Source organism: Homo sapiens, chromosome 6, assembly GCF_000001405.40.
Source record: "Homo sapiens chromosome 6, GRCh38.p14 Primary Assembly".
In the NCBI taxonomy this organism is placed as follows: Eukaryota; Metazoa; Chordata; class Mammalia; order Primates; family Hominidae; genus Homo; species Homo sapiens.
In genome coordinates this window covers 106,556,373-106,574,724 of record NC_000006.12, presented here as the reverse complement: position 1 = coordinate 106,574,724, position 18,352 = coordinate 106,556,373, and the positions used below count along the sequence as shown (strand labels likewise).

Sequence of the window (18,352 nt, the reverse complement as noted above, 5' to 3'; positions counted from 1 at the left end):
GGTACAAGTTAGGGATTCCAGGAATAAGGCAAAGGGCTGGGTGAGTCCCACTTTAGGGTGCATACAGATCACTGGGGAAGCATTTTTCTGCCCCACCCCCTACAGGTTCTGATGTAGTTGTTCTAACAGGAGGCCTTGGACTCTGCATTTTAGGCATGCATTCAGGTGATTCCTTTTCCAGGTAAACAGCATCCTGAAAACAGCATCCCAGGGGCTTTGGAGGAGTGATAGGTTCAGGTTTCATGTGGGACATACAGGAAACAACTGGTTTTTTTTTTTTTGGAGACAGAGTCTCGCTCTGTTGCCCAGGCTGGAGTGCAGTGGCGCGATCTCAGTTCACTGCAACCTCCACCTCCCGGGTTCAAGTAATTCTCATGCCTCAGCCTCCCGAGTAGCTGGGATTACAGACACACACCACCACACCCAGCTAATTTTTGTATTTTTAGTGGAGATAGGTTTCACCATGTTGGCCAGGCTGTCTCAAACTCCTGACCTCAGGTGATTCGCCTGCCTCGGCTTCCCAAAGTGCTGGGATTACAGATGTGAGCCACTGCACTGGGCCGAGAAACATCAATGCATTCCATTCTGCAACATTAATGCAGTCCACCCTAAAGTGGGACTCACCACAGCCCTCTGCCTTATTCTTGGAGAGAATAGAAGACAAATAGGCTTCGTCTCACAAGCCAGCTCAGAGCAGTTAATAGTGGCTGCAGTGGTGAAGATTCTGAGGTCATGCTCAGCTTGTGGGGGATCAGCAATAGTGATGTCCTCCATAGGCGTGGATGGCACCCGTGTAGCACACATCTGTCATCTTGGTGGCCTGGACACAGGGTCGAGAGACCAGGTCCTCAGCTGGCACAAGGAAGGCAGGCCAACATGCAGGCTGTGATAAATCCTTACAGTCCTTGGCTACCTTTCCCTTCCTTTAAGGTTTTAGGGGTAGGTGTAGACAGCAGCAGATGCTATAGGAAAGGCTCAGTGCATAATGGTGATAGCAGATGATGGCATCAGATTGAATCCTGACTTGCTATTTATCAGAAGTGTGACATAGGGCAACTTATTTAACTCTGTTCCTTGATTTATTCATCTGTAAAATGGGAATAACAGTATTTACCCCAGAAAATGGTTATGGGGATTAAATGAGATGAAATCTCTAGAGCCCCTAAAACAGTGCCTGGCACATAGTGAGGCCAGTATGTGCCAGCTGTTGCTTTTATTATGAGCTTATTGTGATTTGTGGGTACAAAAGTATTTTCAGCTCTTTGGAGAAGGGAACTTTTGGAGTCTAAGATGCTCTTCTGGTGGCTTGGCTGTGAAATTCATCCAAGAGGAAGTTTCATCAGATGCATCTGAATGTCACGAAAACACTTCTTCCTCTTGTAAAAGGAAAGCGTAAAATGTATGAGTTGGCTTATGCCTTCTGATAACTTATGCCTGCCAGTGGAGCTATGGGAGGCAGGCCACTGAGATACCTGGTGGATAACTATTGATTTTTGCTTAAAGTTTTGAAAAGGAAGAATTCAGTTGGATTTTTGCATGGAGAGGATGTTACCTGGGACCTAGTTTCAGAAGGAGGTTGCTGGCATTACTGATAGTACAGTGAAAAGACCCAGCAGCATTGAAACATTTATGAGCTGGCTGGAATGACTTTCTTGTAAATTGTAACCGGCTGCACCGTTGTTTAGCAAAGCCTGCCAGGGCAGCTCCAGCCTGGGCCAAGTATTCTCGAAGCCCAGAAAGCTCACATGAGGTGCGTTTTTCCCACTTACCTTATTAGCTTTCACCTAAGTGACATTGATGAAGCTCCTACTGTATGTCTAGCATTATGCCTGGTGTTGTGGGGGATGCAAACAAAATGGCTTAGTCCCCTATCCCACAAGTACTTTATGCTCTGGTTGGGTAGATATGCCAAACACTTAACAAATTAAAAACAAAGAAAAAACAAAAAAAAAACTATTTCCATGCACTCTCTGTAAGGAGCCAAATGGATACATACAGCAAGGACCTTGGGATGTTCTCTTTGGTATTTACCACACAGCACAGAGTGGCTGAGATGTGTACTCAGCTGTAACAAGTACAGTCTGTGAGGAAGGCCACATGGTTCCTGTGGGAGTTGAAAGGGACAACACGTTGCAAACTGGGGCATGAGGACACACAGTGTGAGACCTGGGCGGGAAGGGCAGTGGAATTTTCAGAGAAGGATTTCTGGGCTTACTGACTCGTACCAGCAGAGGCATAAACATACCACGTGGAGAAAATGGCAGGTAGAGCGTTTTTGCAAAGCATGGAATCTGGATGAGGGCTGAGCTCAGGATGCTATTGGTCTTCGAATGCCGGAGTGGGAGCTGTTGAACGGTTCTAAGTAGGAGAGTGAAAGACCAGCATGGAGGAGAAGTAAGACTGGGCAGTGGGGTGGGAGGGGCCATAAAGAGAGAAGCAGCAGTGAGGCAGGAGTGGAGGCAGCATCATGGCCCTTGTGAGAGCCTGACCTGGGTCCACTGGAGAGACACTTGAGAGAGACTGTGGCTTGAGGGACACCGTCAAGAAACTAATTAGCAATGTCATCTGCCTTGAAAGATGTAGGCTTTTTTATCCACCGGTCAACCTCTTATGTTTTACAGATCCGGCCAGTTATTGAACAAACCTTTCCTTTTTCTAAAGTTCCAGAAGCCTTCCTGAAGGTGGAAAGAGGACACGCACGAGGAAAGACTGTAATTAATGTTGTTTAAATAAAAATGCAGTTTAGTGATTGTTGACGTTCTTATTTGGTGAGTGCCTGTGAGCCCAAATTTTTTTCTAGCCATCCCTTTCAAACATTTTTCCAGATTAGATTATACATTCCATGATACAAGCTTTAAAAAATAAACACACCATTTTGGCCAGTAATTGATATAAAAATATCAGCACTTGGATTTGTCTGTAGTCAGTAGAAATTCGAAGTTTTTTCAAGCTGTTCCTTCACACTGGCTTTGCAGGTTGTTGTGGCACCTTCTGTTTTACTAGCTTAAACTACTTTATTGTCTTTTTTGTTTTAGAGACAGGGTCTCGCTGTGTCACCCAGGCTGGAGTGCAGTGGCACAATCACAGCTCACTGCAGCCTTGACCTTAAGCGATTCTCCTGCTTCAGCCTCTCAAGTAGGTAGGACTACAGGTATGCATCACCACACCCAGCTAGTTTTTTTGTATTTTTAGTAGAGACAGTTTTGCCATGTTGCCCAGGCTGGTCTCAAACTCCTGGGCTTAAGTGATCCACCATGTCAGTCTCCCAAAGTTCTGGGATTACAGGCGTGAACCACCCTGCTGGGCCTGATCGTCTTAATGTACAATACTAAAACTTTCAGTGTATAGATGGATGTTGGCATGAAGAGATAATTTAAAGCTGGTTCCTTCTTGAATTCATCACTGAGCAGCTTTCTAACTGCCAAGGTTTCCTTTTTTGTTCCTCCACCATAATGTGGTCACCACAGCTCTTAAAGTTCTAAATCTCTTAGTGTCATATATAAAAATCTGCCTGGTGATTCATTTGTTTATGCTCTTAATATTGAAAGGTGAGAGCAGAGTTTCTAACTTTTTAAAACCCTTACATCTTGCATAAGGATTAGGCCTGTTTCGGCAATTGAAACATGCTTCTCTGAGGGCTTTTCCATGGAAATTGCAGCCTTCCAATGGAGCCCAAAGCTTGCCACTTTGATGTCAAATGTTTACATTTAGATATCTCTCCAATCAACCCATTGCAGTGTGCACTTCGAATATTCATTTACGGTAAGTGTTTTTACTTCCTAATATACTCATCCTCAGTATTGCACCTGATATGCTTGCTTGTAACTTTTGATGTAGACCTGTTTTGAGATTTCTGCTTGGTTTATTCCTGTTAGACACTCGTTTGGTAGCATGTATGTTAGATGTAGGCTTTTCTCTAAAATTGTTGGTCTGGTCTTACTACCGAGTTATTGCAAAAGAAAAAAAAATCTGATTTTCCAGGTGTAAATACCAGCTGCTCTTGACTTCCATCTGGAGCAGCCTCAGCTCTTTTCCTGGAGGGCTCCCAGGTGGTAGTGGGAGTAAAATACTTGAGCCAGGACCTCACTCATCCTCGTTTCCACTCAGAAACTATGGAGTTTGGAAAGAGAGTGGTCAGCAAATCTTTCTTGCTATTATACCAGCACCCCTCAAACCTGCTTCATCCTAATCAGACATTTGTTTCTAATCTGCTAGCTGACTCTCTTTGAAGGGTGAGATGAGGGCTACTGAATGGACTCTCAGATTTCATCAACATAGTTAACCAGAAGCAAGTTTATTTAAGAGATCAGTTCAGCACAGGCTACTGTAGAATGTCTTACCCCACCATATTGTAATGGTATGCACAAAAGGCCTAAAATCAGAGCTATATATCTAGGAACAAGACAGATATGTTGGATGCTGTTGTACATGCACCAATAATATTTTAAAACAAGACAAACTATTCCAGTGACCATAATTGCCTACCATAGACTCCAGAGAAGATCAGCATTTTAGAATTAGAAACACACTTGAATAGATGGAAAAGAAACAAGCTGTTCTACCTGTGACAAGAGCACCAGTATTGAGTGATGAGGACAAAAAGAGGAAGAATATATTCAAGGAAATGTTTAGCACTTTTGTTCAAAGCTAGAACCCACTGTTGGAAGAGCAGCGTATGGGCTGGTGTCTTGTCAGTTGTTAAGCAGTTTGTTTGCATTTTGAAATGCTTACTGCAGTTGAGGATTCCAAGATTGCTTGAAGATTGATTTGACTCCGGTCAAATCAAGACTTGACCAGCAACATCCCTAAAGGTCTCTTTTCCTTCACTTTCTGGGGATAATTAATTGCTGGTCATCCTCTTGAGCCTTTCACACCTCGTTTAGTGGCTATAGTGCCCCCAAGACCTGAGGCTGTCCACCAACAGCTATACCCTGAAGCATGGCTGCAGAACACTGCAGGGAAGGCAGCCCCATGCAGGCCATGTGTGGATGCAGGTGGATAGGAGGACAAGAAATTAGGCTAAAAAATCTGAGTTTAGCAAAAAAGTATGTAACATTGCTTCAGCACTTGTAGATGAGTAAGGATGGCTCATAAATTAGGTCATAATAGTGTTCCAGTAGCAGCTATAAGAAAGGCATTAAACAACCCTCATTTGTGACATTCTAGGGCAGCCCATGGATGAGTTAAAATAATTCAAATCCTGGCTGGGCGCAGTGGCTCAGGCCTGTAATCCCAGCATTTTGGGAGGCCGAGGCGAGTGAATTGCTTGAGCCCAGAGGTTCGAGATCAGCCTGGGCAACGTGATGAAACCCCATCTCTACAAAAAAAAAACAAAATTTGGCTGGGCTTGGTGATGTGTGCCTATAGTCCCAGCTACTTGGGAGGCTGAGGTGGGAGGATCACCTGAGCCTGGGGAGGTAGAGGCTGCAGTGAGCCGTGATTGTGCCACTGCACTCCAGCCTGAGATCCTGTCTCAAAAAATAATAACTCAAATCCTACTAACAAATGTTACCAGACTTTGACATTAAATTTTTAAAATGTATTAATTTTTAATATGAACTAAAGGAAAATAGTATTTTGTTTAGAGTTCCTTAAATGTGTGAATACCTAAGGCTTTCCCATTGTGCTATGCAGCATATTTAAAGGTTCCAGAAAGTGTTTAAGGCCAAGAACCAAAATTACAGGCCTAATAAAGTATTTCTTCTCAGATGCTAAACAGTTCTCTACCTTTCAAACTTAAGCCTTTGTCTTACCCTTTAAAGTGTAAGGGCTTTGTAGGTCCACAAAGTTGGTAAATTTGTTCCAGTTCTCTCCTGTCACTATCTTTGGAAATAATTTAAAATGTACACAGTCTTGAAATCTTGATATAACATTTTACAAAATCACCCAAAAGCTGCTAATTAGGCAACCTGTTTAAGCAGCTACCAAAAATGAAAGGCAAGAAATGAAAGGAGGACAAATTATTGGTTTAAAGCTATGATAGTCTTTTGAAACGATGAGTAAGTTCTCTGAGTCATGGCAGCATGATTTAAGGTTGAATTTAGAATCAATGAAGGAGGAGTCGATCCACTTTCCAGTCTGGTCTTCCATCAGCATTGTCCTTTTTAAGAAATAAGGTGGCTGGAAGGACCTCCAGAAGATTCTTCTTCCTTCTTTGTTCAGGTATATAGGACCATGGCTTCCCACACTTGTGTAAACTTCTCTTTGCTGACAGTGTTGAGGATAATGTGATTTTGATCATACTGTGTGCCCCCTAAAAGAAAGGAAAATAATAAAAGATGAATGTACCCATGGTGAAGGGTCTATAGCAGACACAATTCCCCTAACACCAGTACAGCAAAAGTAAGCAAGTAAACAAGGTGTAGAACTGCATGCCTCAAGGAGGCAAGGCAGGGAGGGAAGCCTGGGCCCCTGTGGGATGAGAGGGTCAACCTGCCATGGGTGAATCTGTCCAGATCCCACCATTGGGGCACCAGCACCTTCACACAGGACATCCCACCTCACGGGCTCCTTTTTCTACCCAGTTCTTAAGAGCTAGTCCACAGTCACTCTTACAATGTCTGAAATTCAAGGGAACTGGGAAAACCCGAGAGAAGGGAAAAGGAGTAAAGAGACTAACATATATTTGGTGGTGAGATGGTAGATTCGAGACACCAGCGAGGAAAGAGCAGGTAGTCCTGGCAGTGGTGGAAAGGTGGGAGGAATGGTTATCGAGGAACAGCACTTGCATGAACAATGAAAACGGGCTGTATTAGGTCAAAGGGGAGGTTTGGATGACACCCGGAAGTACATAAGGGGACGCGGTAGCATTGTCACTACTGGGGACTCAGTTGGTGGATAAAATTTCATAGCATTTAGGATGCTGAGTACCACAGTATTGTAAAACTATTATCATGAACTCTCTCCCTGTTACCAGAATGTTTGTAAGATTTTCCAAAGGTGCTTACTGGATGTTTCAGATACTTTAGTGCTAAAAACAGCCTCATGGCTTCTTTCTTTGGAGAAGTATCATTAACAAAAGGGTTATCTGATTTTTTTTTTTCCAGTGTAGAATAAAGATCCCTTCAGATGGCTTATCCTTTTTTTAGCATAAACCTCAGCACCAAGGATGTATCAACAAAGACCCCATCAAAGTAAAAATCTGTGCATTTTGATGCAGGGAGTGACTGGTATTGAAAGCATGCTTCCTCCTTGGATCAAGAAGAAATAAACATTCTTTTCACCTTTGAAGCATTTACAAAATATGAAAAAGGTTTGGGAATTTACACAATAAATCTAGGTATTATAGTTGAGGAAGGAAATCGTCTCTTCTCTTGTGAGACACTGATTTATCATCATTGGTAATCTACAGCCTCTACACAGCTAGATGTATGGCTAGATGTACTATAGAATACAAGGGTAAGGTGTTTTGGGCCTTTATGTGTAAGTTTGTAGCAGTAGGGAAAAAACTACCAGCAAACCCTACACTCTGCCGAGACAGAGACACACAGCATACTCCACTGAAATTTCAGGAAGTATTAAAGTCACAATGTCTCTTTTCATTCTTCATTATAGTATGTTAAAATACTTTTTGTATTTTAAGAGTATCTTTTGTATTTTAAAAGTAAAGTATCTTAAAATACTTTCATATAAATTCAACTAGAATCATGAAAACTAGAAAGTTCTTGAGAAATAATTTGATTCATTCTCTTGCCTTTGGAGAGTGTTTAAATTGTGCAGACTTCATGTTTTTTAAAGTGAACATGAATCAGCTTCCACTGTTGTTACAAGGTATGTGGTCTGGAATAATACATGAATGTCTACCAAAAGAACTCATTTCCCAAACACAAGAAGATGAGCTAGAAGACAGATGCATGATCTAATAATTCTTAGGGCAATTTTAATAGATAACAAATGGTTCAGTAGTTGTAGCTAATGGAAATCATGGTCTGCTAGTAAGTGCACCAACGAGAAGAGACGTGTTTATATTTTCCTTTGCATGGGGTGTGGGACGTGCGGCGCTGCTCTCTCATGTCCACAAGATGGCACCATTCTCCCAGTCTGAGAAAATTAAATTCAGTTTAACAAGGAATTAAAACTGTTGTAGCTAGCCGGGCGTGGTGGCAGGCACCTGTAATCCCAGCTACTCAGGAGGCTAAGGCAGGAGAATTGCTTGAACCCAGGAGGCGGAGGTTGCAGTGAGCCGAGATCGTGTCATTGCACTCCAGCCTGGACGACAGAGTGAGACTCCGTCTCAAAAAAAAAAAAAAAAAAAAAAAAAGACTGTTGTTGCTACCGTGCTAGATACTGAGATTTCACAAATATACGGGACATTATGCTTACTCAGCAGGCACTTGAGTAATTTATATAGTGTCATTTAGGAAGGGGCTCTGGAGCTTTAAAAAGAAGTCTTAAGAAACCTAGAGTCCCACGGTTCATGTCAGAGCCAAGACAAGGAGTGAGGTGTCCTTCCTTCTGGTCCGCTGCTAATGTAACAAGTCAGGGACATCCTGTGTGCCTAGCGCATCTAGAACGTAAACTGTCTGAAGCCAAGGAGGAGGCTTTTTTTTTTTTTTTTCACGCTGGTGCCCTCCGTGTCTAGCACCGAGCCTGGCACATAGTGTGTACCCCGTGAATACATGTTGAAAGAATAAGAGAAGAAAGCTCTAGCTAAGGATCATAGTGTTGTCCACCCTGGACATAGGAAGCAGATCACATTTGTAAAAAACAGGAAGGTTTGGTCAGATTTCCTTTGAGAACTACATACCCTACTTTCTCTAACATTGTGTCAAAAACTCCATTTTTTCCAATTGAGTCACATTTCTTTGGTGTCTCTGGAGATTTTGAAACTCTTGTCAACACTGAAGCACTCTAGTGCAATAAAGTTTATCAAAATAAGAATAAACAAAGATCTGCATAATTCTTAACTAGTTTGAACCTCAGGTTGATCATCTATAAAATGAGTATTTCACCTGTCTACATATTGACAAATCTGTTGTACCAAATGTAAGGTGAGGGAGCTGTACTATATGTTACTGTTTGGTTTCTGAATATTGCATTTATTTTCTTATATCCAAGGGTACTACTTGCATTTTATATGATCTTTGTGGTCTCCATCCAGCCTGTAGTTGCAGTGCTTAGTTTGTGTTCCCTAAGTGCCCCCTTTAATGAAGGCAAAGGCATTGTTTGCTTCTGAGCATCTTTCCAACTTCTCAGATTCTGTCTGATCCTAAGTCCATTGTTTTAAGTGGGTTGGCCAAGCTACCTACCTGGAGATCATTCAGAAGTGACAGCCACTTTTGCTCCCCATACAGTTACCAAAGCCCCTGATGAAAATGTCCAGATTCGTTCTCCATTATCCAGAAAAGTTGTTTTTTAAAAATCAGATTACAGCACTTTCTTGTCCCTACAACTTTTTTTTTTTTGAGACGAAGTCTTGCCCTGTCGCCTAGGCTGGAGTGCAGTGGCACAATCTCGGCTCAGTGCAACGTCCGCCTCCCGGGTTGACGCGATTCTCCTGCCTCAGCCTCCCAAATAGCTGGGACTACAGGCGCCCACCACCACACCCAGCTAATTTTTTTGTATTTTTTAGTAGAGACGGGGTTTCACCATGTTAGCCAGGATGGTCTCGATCTCCTGACCTCGTGATCCACCCACCAGGGCCTCCCAAAGTGCTGGGATTACAGGCGTGAGCCACGGCACCTGGCTCTTTACCCCTACATCATAAACTTTAATGACAGCATTGGCCTAAATCCCTGATTAAAGTAAAATTGAGTCATTTTGTAGTGATGATTTAAAATAGAGTATGTAATATACTCATAAAAATTTAAAAAAATTAATGGAGTATGTAGTATGGTTACATTATCACCAGTTCGCTACAAAACACAATTGTGCTGACTTTCCTGATAGGGAATAAAAAAGTGCCCATTAATTTAAAGCAGAATTACCCCAGATGACATGAACACACCATCTGCACCTGTCAATAGCAACACACTAGTTCACTGAGTTCCCACACAGAGGTTAGGTCATTCTTATGTTATTTTTAAATGACTATCAGTGGTTCTCCGGGTGTGGGCCTCAGACCAGCAGCATTGGCAACACCTGGGAACTTGTTAGAAAAGGAATTATCAGGCCCCACCCCAGACCTACAGACTCAGTCTCTGAGGATGTGGCCCCACAGTCTATTTTAACCCGCCCTCCAGGTGATTCTGATGCAAATAAAGTTTGAGGACAACCACGCTAAATTTATTCTCCCCCAAGCACCATCAGTTCACTCCCTATTAGCTTCATTGAACACATGTTGCATTGAAATCCTGTAGGCTGTGTTAATTCCTTTGAGATCTTAGATCTTTTCAATGAAAGGTCACGTGTATACATGAGAATCATCAACTCTACCGAACTAAGTGCAATCACGGCCTTTCAGCTTGTGATTTTTAGCCTAACACTATTATAATAAAATAAATGTTTGAAGTCAGCCTATGGCCAGATTCTGGTTCAGCAGTTACAGCTGTGAGATTGTGGCCAAACTGGCCAACCCCTTTGAGCTTCCGGGGTTTTGTTGTTGTTGTTGTTGTTGTTTTGTCTGTAAAACTGGGGAGAAAAGAGGGAGAGGGGATAATGTAGGCCTCATAGGGCGGCTGTGAAGATGACGGGACATGGTGTACTGAAAGTGGCTAGCACAGCAGCTGGCACACAGTAGGGGCTCTCTTACTGTTACTACTAATAATACATTCATCATTTTCAAAAGTTATGAATAGATTTTTCCTTAACTAAAAGACATACACATTACAATAAAGAAAATAAAGGAAGTGACCCTTACCTTTAATGTCTAAAACTAAATTTGGCTTCAACTTGCTGTAAATCCTGCCATCGGACTTCAAGCTCCAGAACTGGCTGTCAGCATTCTGGTCCAGGGCCAGGCCTAGCTTGGAGCCAGATGTTACCAGGCTGCCCACAATCGTCAGGCAGCAGTCTTCTGCTATCTGCTCAGTGGAAAAGACCAGATATCTTAAATATGTATCCAGCTGTAAGTCTCATAGCAATTATTTCTCTGGTTACATTGGGCTTTAAAATTATCTTAGTTCCTAGCTTCATTTACCCCACATGAGGCAGTTCAGCTCTTAGCCAACTAGAATCGGACAATAAATATTTATGCCATTTATTTCAGATGACACGAATGATGGGAAAATCTCAATGTTTGTGCATCGTCAGAGACTTCTGCCCTTTGCAAGACTATCTTACTAGTAGGGAAAGCCTCATAACATTAGAACTGCCCATCATATTTTTCCCTGTCATAAGTGACCATGATCCCAGGCAGGTTCTGTAGCTATATCTCCCTCTGACATCTCCACCTCTGCTTGGCCTGACCTTCCAGTATATGACTGCACCTCTAATTTTGTAGCACTGGGTGGCTAAAGGGCATTTTATCATTTTAAAACTCGGAATTGCATTTATTAGCATTTGTCTTTCCTTCATGAGAATTAAAATTTTCTAAACAGGCATGCTTTCCAGCTATGAAAACAGAAAAATGCAGACTCACTAGAGGGTGTTTTAATGCAAAGATTTTATGAGCCCTTCCCTGAAGTGAATCTACCCTTAATATATAAATAATGTATGGCAGTCATGTTCACATGCCATTAACAAAAATTACTGGCCAGGTACAGTGGCTCACAACTGTAATCCCAACTCTTTGGGAGGCCAAGGTGAGAGGATCACTTGTGAGACCCTATCTCTACAGAAAAGTTTTAAAAATTAGCCAGGTATAGTGGCATGCACTTGTGGGCCCCAGCTACTCAGGAGGCTGAGGTGGGAGGATCCCTTGAGCCCAGGAGGTCGAAGCTACAGTGAGCTGTGATTGCACCACTACACTCCAGCCTGGGCAACAGAGCTAGACTCTGTCTCAAACACAAAAACAAAACAATGTTGCTATAAAAATGCCTGTTAAAAGTGTATTATTGTAGGCCAGGCGCAGTGGCTTATGCCTGTAATCCCAGCACTTTGGGAGGCCAAGGCAGGTGGATCACGAGGTCAGGAGATCAAGACCATCCTGGCCAACATGGTGAAACCCCGTCTCTACTAAAAATACAAAAAAGTTAGCTGGGCGTGGTGGCACACGCCTGTAGTCCCAGCTACTCGAGAGGCTGAGGCAGGAGAATCGCGTGAACCCGGGAGGTACAGGTTGAAGTGAGCCGAGATAGTGCCACTGCACTCCAGCCTGGTGACAGAGCAAGACCCCGTCTAAAAAAAATTAAAGTATATTATTCTATATTGAGATGAAAGCACTGTGATAATCTAGGAGACTTTTTCTCATTGACCTATTGAATTCAAAGTTGTTAAATAACATCACTGAAATGTCTGTTAGAAATAACTGCTGAAAGACACCATTTTCTTGGATTAAGACAATTCAAAGGCAGAAAGCTTCTTTTCATGATTCCATATTACAACTACTTCTGTTCCTCCTGCTAGTTCTTCTATGCATGTCCAAACAGTACTTCTGTTTACTGAAAGAATTCCCCCTCCAGCACAACAGACCCAATTAACGAGTTGTACTCCTTTTCGCAAGGCTGTGTTCCTTCTGCTGACTCACGGGGCACCAGGTTTTTTTTGGTTTTTTGTTTTGTTTTGTTTTGTTTTTTTAAAGAAAATCAGGAGCCAACGGTCAAGCTCACAAAATCAAGGAGTAAAAAAGTTTTATCTACCATAGAAGCATGAGCTTCTTTCATAAAAATCTTACTACAGTCAGCTTTTAAGTGTCTGTTAATAGTAGGAATGATGCAGGAGGGACATGGGCCATTTTCTAATTTACAACGTATGACACTTAGGAAATGGACTGTGCAGCACACAGAGGGATCTCTTTACCCTTCATCCCGTTCTGTGGATTTCCCCAAAACAAACCAAGAGTGATTTTTGTTGACAGGGCTGGAGCTTATAGTTTGTTTCTGTAACAGTTACATTAAGGAAAAAGGGAAGAATAACACACTTCCTTTTTCTACTACTATATAAAAATCAAGCATAGAAATAAATATTCTATCTTGGATCAGTGCTATATTTACCTTTCATTTTAAGTTCCTAGACTGGTTCTATCAGAGCTAGGATATACTGTCATGAAAAAAACAAATTCATTTCTGAAAGTACTCCAGGAATTGTGAAATTGCATCTACTTGAAGAAAAGATCAAAAGCATATGAAAGGATGAGTCACCTCCTAGCAAAGCCATCACAGGCCCCCGTGGAATCCTAAAGCTCACCCTGCATTTGATACATCCTTCTTGATAGATCCAAATCTGATCATCGGCCCCGACATCCTCCATGACCTGTATCCTCAGAAGCTTCAGATCCTCTAAGTTTCCATTGGTTGACATGAATAACCCTGTTGCTTTGTTTCGAAGTCTGAAATAAATTCGCTTCTAGAAGACAAAACCCCCAGCAGTTGTTATACCAGATGTGCTGCTGGAAGCACTGAACAAGCATGAATATCAGGAAGAATCCAAAGTGAGATATGGATTAAGGGTAATTACCATACTCAAGAGTCTCAGAGGTTTTAAATTTTCTCAATGAGAAGAGTTTGACAAAATGTCAAAGCGCCTGAGGCAGGGTGCCTGCCTGTGGATAACTGCGTTTGATGTTCAGTTTGATGGCCTTCTGAAGCAGCCACACCTCTTAGCACCAGAAACTGAGCCCAGATTATTGGGGCAGGGAAGGAGTTTATAGGGTGAGGCCAGTTATAAACTTTGAATAAAAAAATTGGATAAAAAGTTGGATTGCATTTACAAAAAAATTTCAGAGAAGAGTCTATGCAGAGCATGGAGAGGAAGAAAATACCTGAACAAAAGGTCGTAGAGAACCTATTTGGCGACAGCCACTGAATTCATACCAATTAGGTACTTCTGCAGGTGACAATAGGAACTGTCGCCCTCTGTAACTGCCATATTCATAAGTAACCCATCTGAAAACAAAAATAACCACAGTAAGTGGCAATTTTCATTTGACAGTGGACCCCAATTACATTTATTTTTAGAATGCTTTCCATTTCTAGACTGAACTATATACTTTTAACATACATTGGGGGAAAAATGATCTTTTCTAGAACACTTAAAAGAAGTAATTTCTTGACAAATAGCAAATTTTTGTTACATGAGTACTTATGCCAAAAAGTTCCATTCTTGAAGAGAAATAGGTAAGTTTTTTCCTCCGTAAAGCAGTGAAATATTGTCTTTTAGTGGATTCCTCAGTTCTTCCTGGGAACTATTCATAAAATAGCTTCAGTTGTAATAATGGGTCTTTAAGTTGTTAATATTTCCAAAGCTCTTAGTAGGTGCTAAATAGGGTTAAATAAAAAGTTTTGTCTGCAGTGAGAGTAATCTTTGTTAAATCTAAAAAACTGCTAAGATACTCAGTTCCCTTCCGCTCAGATGCTACTGCTGCACACCTGAGGAAGTATGGGTTTAAGCGCAGACTGGCGTGGAAGCAGCCCAGCGCCCTCCTCTCTTGCATATTACATCAGGGAAGAATGCACTCTACTTTTAATCCTGGAACTTAAATCCTGGATAAAATTTTATCATTTTAGTCATCTTATCATAAAAACAAAATATTAAAACCTACTGCAAAAAAATCACCCATAATTCTACCACCCTAATATTCTATAATTTTTTTTTCCAGGTAGGTCTCACTCTGTTGCCCAGGCTGAAGGGCAGTGGCACGATCACAGCTCACTGCAGCCTCAACCTCCCAGACTCAAGTGATCTCCCACCTCAGCCTCCTGAGTAGCTGGGACTACAGGCGTGCACCACCACACCCGACTAATTTTTGTGTTTTCAATAGAGACAGGGTTTCAACATGTTGCCCAGGCTTGTCTGGAACTGCTGGGTTCCAGTGATCTGCCCACTTTGACCTCCCAAAGTGCTAGGGTTACAGACGTGAGTCACTGCGCCCAGCTTCTGTGATTTTTTTTATTTTCTTTTTTAGATGGAGTTTCACTCTTGTCACCCAGGCTGGAGTGCACTGGTGTGATCTCAGCTCACTGCAACCTCCACCTCCTGGGTTCAAGTGATTCTCCTGCCTCAGCCTCCTGAGTAGCTGGGATTACAGGGGCCCCACCACCACACCTGGCTAATTTTTGTATTTTTTAGTAGAGACAGGGTTTCACCACGTTGGCCAGGCTGGTCCTGAACTCCTGACCTCAGGTGATCCACCCGCTTTGCCCTCCCAAAGTGCTGGGATTACAGGCAGGAGCCACTGCACCCAGCCCGGCCTGATTATTTTTTAAATAGATGTAGTCCACCCCAACATCTGTTGTACACAGGTAGACCATACCTATTGTTTTTGTGAATAAAAGAAAAATACTTTCTTAAAAACATGTATTACATTGATGGTACTCATTCATTTTTATATCTTATTCAAAAGTATTCGAAGTTGAGGGGAAAAAAATCTTTCCAAGTTGACCTTTAATCATTTGTATAACATCTGCCAGTCATTCCCAGCTAAAGGAAAATCCCAACCCTGAGCTCCAAAATCAGAGGACTTGCTCTTTTTTAAAGGGATAAGTAAAGTCAGCTCTTTCTTACTTGCTAGACTATGAGAGGTGTTAAAGACAAAATCCTTACCTTAAATAAACTAAAAATCTGGATAATGAAATAAAAGATGCTTTACATATGACTTTTCCCAGTGGAAAAGTGTTCTACAAAGGTGCATAATTATTAACCCTTACAAAAAGAGAGGGTATATGTCAATTAGTTTAAGATAATATAAGAGAGGGAGAAATCTGATCAATTTTTTTTTTTTAAATTAAGATAGGGTCTTGCTTTGTCACTCAGACTGGAGTACAGTGGCGTGAACACGGCTCACTGCAGCCTCAACCTACTGTGCTCAAGTGATCCTTCGGCCTCAGCCTCCTACGTAGCTGGGGCCACAGGCATGTGCCACGACACCTGGCTAATTTTTAAATTTTTGGTAGAGATGGGGTCTCACTTTGTTGCCCAGGCTTTTCTTGAATCCCTGGATTCAAATGATCCTTCTACCTCGGCCTCCTAAAGTGTTGGGAATACAGGCGTGAGCCACTGTGCCCAGCCCAAACTTGATTTTTAAAATGATCTATTTTATTGAGTCAACAAGTAGGTAACTCACATGCCACCAATAACCTGAACAGAGCGTATTTGTGTGTTGAATCCCAGGGATCGGAGATTGACAGTTTCTGCATTAAGTTCAATCTTTTTTCCTTTGAAGTCTTCTCTTTCAAAGAGAATAATTGTTGGTTCAGAAAATTCCTGTTGAGGAACAAAAACAATGTTCTGTTATTCATCTTTGTTAATAATTCAAACTTATGTGAAAATCATCTTGTTACAAGGACAAAGCACAAAAAATCTGCTAGATTTGGCCTTTCCATAAACTCCTTTTCCAAGGGAGCCTGGATGTTTGTGTACTCCAAGCTAGAGAGAAAGCACAGAGGGGCAGTTAGTTTCTCCATTGCATAGGAAGGCAGGTAAATATAAATAGTTTGTAAAACAGGGGGAAAAAAAAAAGAGAAATGGGTATACGCTGGGAATATCAACACTTCTGATGGCATTTATTTTTGACTTAGCCATTTTCACTGGGACAAGGAGGGGCTGGAAAGTCATGGACATAATTGCCAAGGGTCAGAGGGCTGTGGCATCTGATGTTTAGTCACTTAGTGTACAGTGGTATTGCCTAATCAGGGAACCTTCCTCTTGTATGTATTTTCAAATGTCTTTTTTTTTTCTGTTCATCACTAAGACAATGATTCTGTGTACTCATGCTCCCAAACTTTCCTGTAGGAATCATTGTCAAGAGGAGAGAAAAAAAACAACAGGATGGAAGCTCTATGTTCAAACTGTCAATCATTTTAAAGAGGACAACAGCACAAACGTTCACTGTTCAGGAAAATGAAAAGTTGGCAGCTTATGCCTGTTTTTTCAAATTATAGACACTTTTGATTCTACATTAATCTCTAATGATAGTACTGCTAAGATCATAAATGATGCATTAAAAAGCATGTGGGAGGCCGGGCATGGTGGCTTACGCCTGTCATCCCAGCACTTTGGGAGGCCGAGGTGGACGGATCACTTGAGGTCAGGAGTTTGAGATCAGCCTGGCCAACAGGGTGAAACCCCATCTCTATTAAAAATACAAAAACAAACAAACAAACACAAAAAAATTAGCCGGGCATGGTGGTGCATGCTTGTAATCCCAGCTACTTTGGAGGCTGAGTGGGAGACTAGAGAATCACTTGAACCTGGGAGGCGGAGGTTGCAGTGAGTCAAGATCATGCCACTGCACTCCAGCCTGGGCAACTGAGTGAGACTCCATTTCAAAAAAAAAAAAAATAAAAGCATGTGGGGATTACAATTTTTTCCCTATCCTGCTTAAAGTTTGTGGAAAGGGTGCGGTACCTTACTGCTTCATTTATGTGGATGTGTCCTGACTGGTAAAAAGATTTTGTCCATCAGTAAACAGAGCATGTTAGTGTGTAGAAGTAGTTTGTGTGGTCTAGGAATTAGTTTATATAAAACATACATGGAGGAAAGAAGACAAAAATTATAGTAGTATTACTACTTTGCACTTTTATTGCACTTTTGAGATGGCAAGCCCAAAAATGTTCTAAACACTTTAGTATTAAAAAGCAATTAAATAATTTTGAAGTATTAAGTCACAAAGATATGTAGTCTTCATATGGGTAAAACATTCATTTCCTCACAATTAAAACATAAAAAGATGTCATCTATAGCCTCAGAGTGTTGTGAGCATATATGCCAAGTTCTGGTTGAGGGAAGGCATTGAAATTTTCAAATATATACTTGTAGGTAGCTTTTAGAATTCTAGGCAGAATAACAATCAAAGTCTTATTCATTACTTGTAAGCTAATGAATCTTACTACCTCATTTCATGTTTCTTTGTTACTATTTTCATGTCTCAGTAGCATTTTTGCTATTTAAACAGGCAGGCAGGGATGAGATGAAAACCAACTCACATACGTTCTTCCTACATTTAAAACTAAAATGAGCAATTACGTGTGTTTAAAGCTTTTTATGAGAAAGCAGTTACCAAAAACTAATAAAAATGTCAGAAACGACAGATACTTCCAGACTTTAATATCTCAACATGATCTTGCAGTTTTGTTCTATTGAATATTACTTCCACTACATCAAACTGAAAGACTTCTGTCCAAAAGAGGGCACTATAATCTGGATTAGCACATAGTGGCAAACTGGGAGAAGTCATTTGATTGCAAATCTCTAAAACACAGAATAATAATAGACTAAAAACCTATAAGGAATTTCTTCAATAATAACAACCAAAGGTAGAGGAAGCCAAATTGCAAAGGATACAATACACAATTCCTTGAATAGAAAATGCAAATTA

General features: G+C 41.4%; 2 protein-coding genes across 7 annotated transcripts in view; one reads left to right on the top strand and one right to left on the bottom strand.

Moving 5' to 3' along the window:
- RTN4IP1 (reticulon 4 interacting protein 1) overlaps window positions 1–3,954 on the top strand; it is a 59,721-nt gene extending 55,767 nt beyond the window's left edge. For 2 of the 4 annotated variants that reach the window (NM_001318746.1, NM_032730.5), the window contains exon 9: window positions 2,622–3,954. In NM_001318746.1, coding sequence (NP_001305675.1) covers window positions 2,622–2,729 — 108 coding nt within the window. In that variant the 3' untranslated portion in view covers window positions 2,730–3,954. The remainder of the gene's footprint in view (window positions 1–2,621) is intronic. The other 2 variants (XM_011536192.3, XM_017011376.3) reach the window with 1 other exon arrangement.
- The window catches only part of CRYBG1 (crystallin beta-gamma domain containing 1), a 211,301-nt gene continuing 195,656 nt past the window's right edge, over window positions 2,708–18,352 (bottom strand). For all 3 annotated transcript variants that reach the window (XM_047418270.1, NM_001371242.2, NM_001624.4), the window contains 5 exons: window positions 16,100–16,239; window positions 13,799–13,922; window positions 13,225–13,383; window positions 10,799–10,961; window positions 2,708–6,253 (listed from right to left, as the gene is read on the bottom strand). In XM_047418270.1, coding sequence (XP_047274226.1) covers window positions 6,159–6,253; window positions 10,799–10,961; window positions 13,225–13,383; window positions 13,799–13,922; window positions 16,100–16,239 — 681 coding nt within the window. In that variant the 3' untranslated portion in view covers window positions 2,708–6,158. The remainder of the gene's footprint in view (window positions 6,254–10,798; window positions 10,962–13,224; window positions 13,384–13,798; window positions 13,923–16,099; window positions 16,240–18,352) is intronic.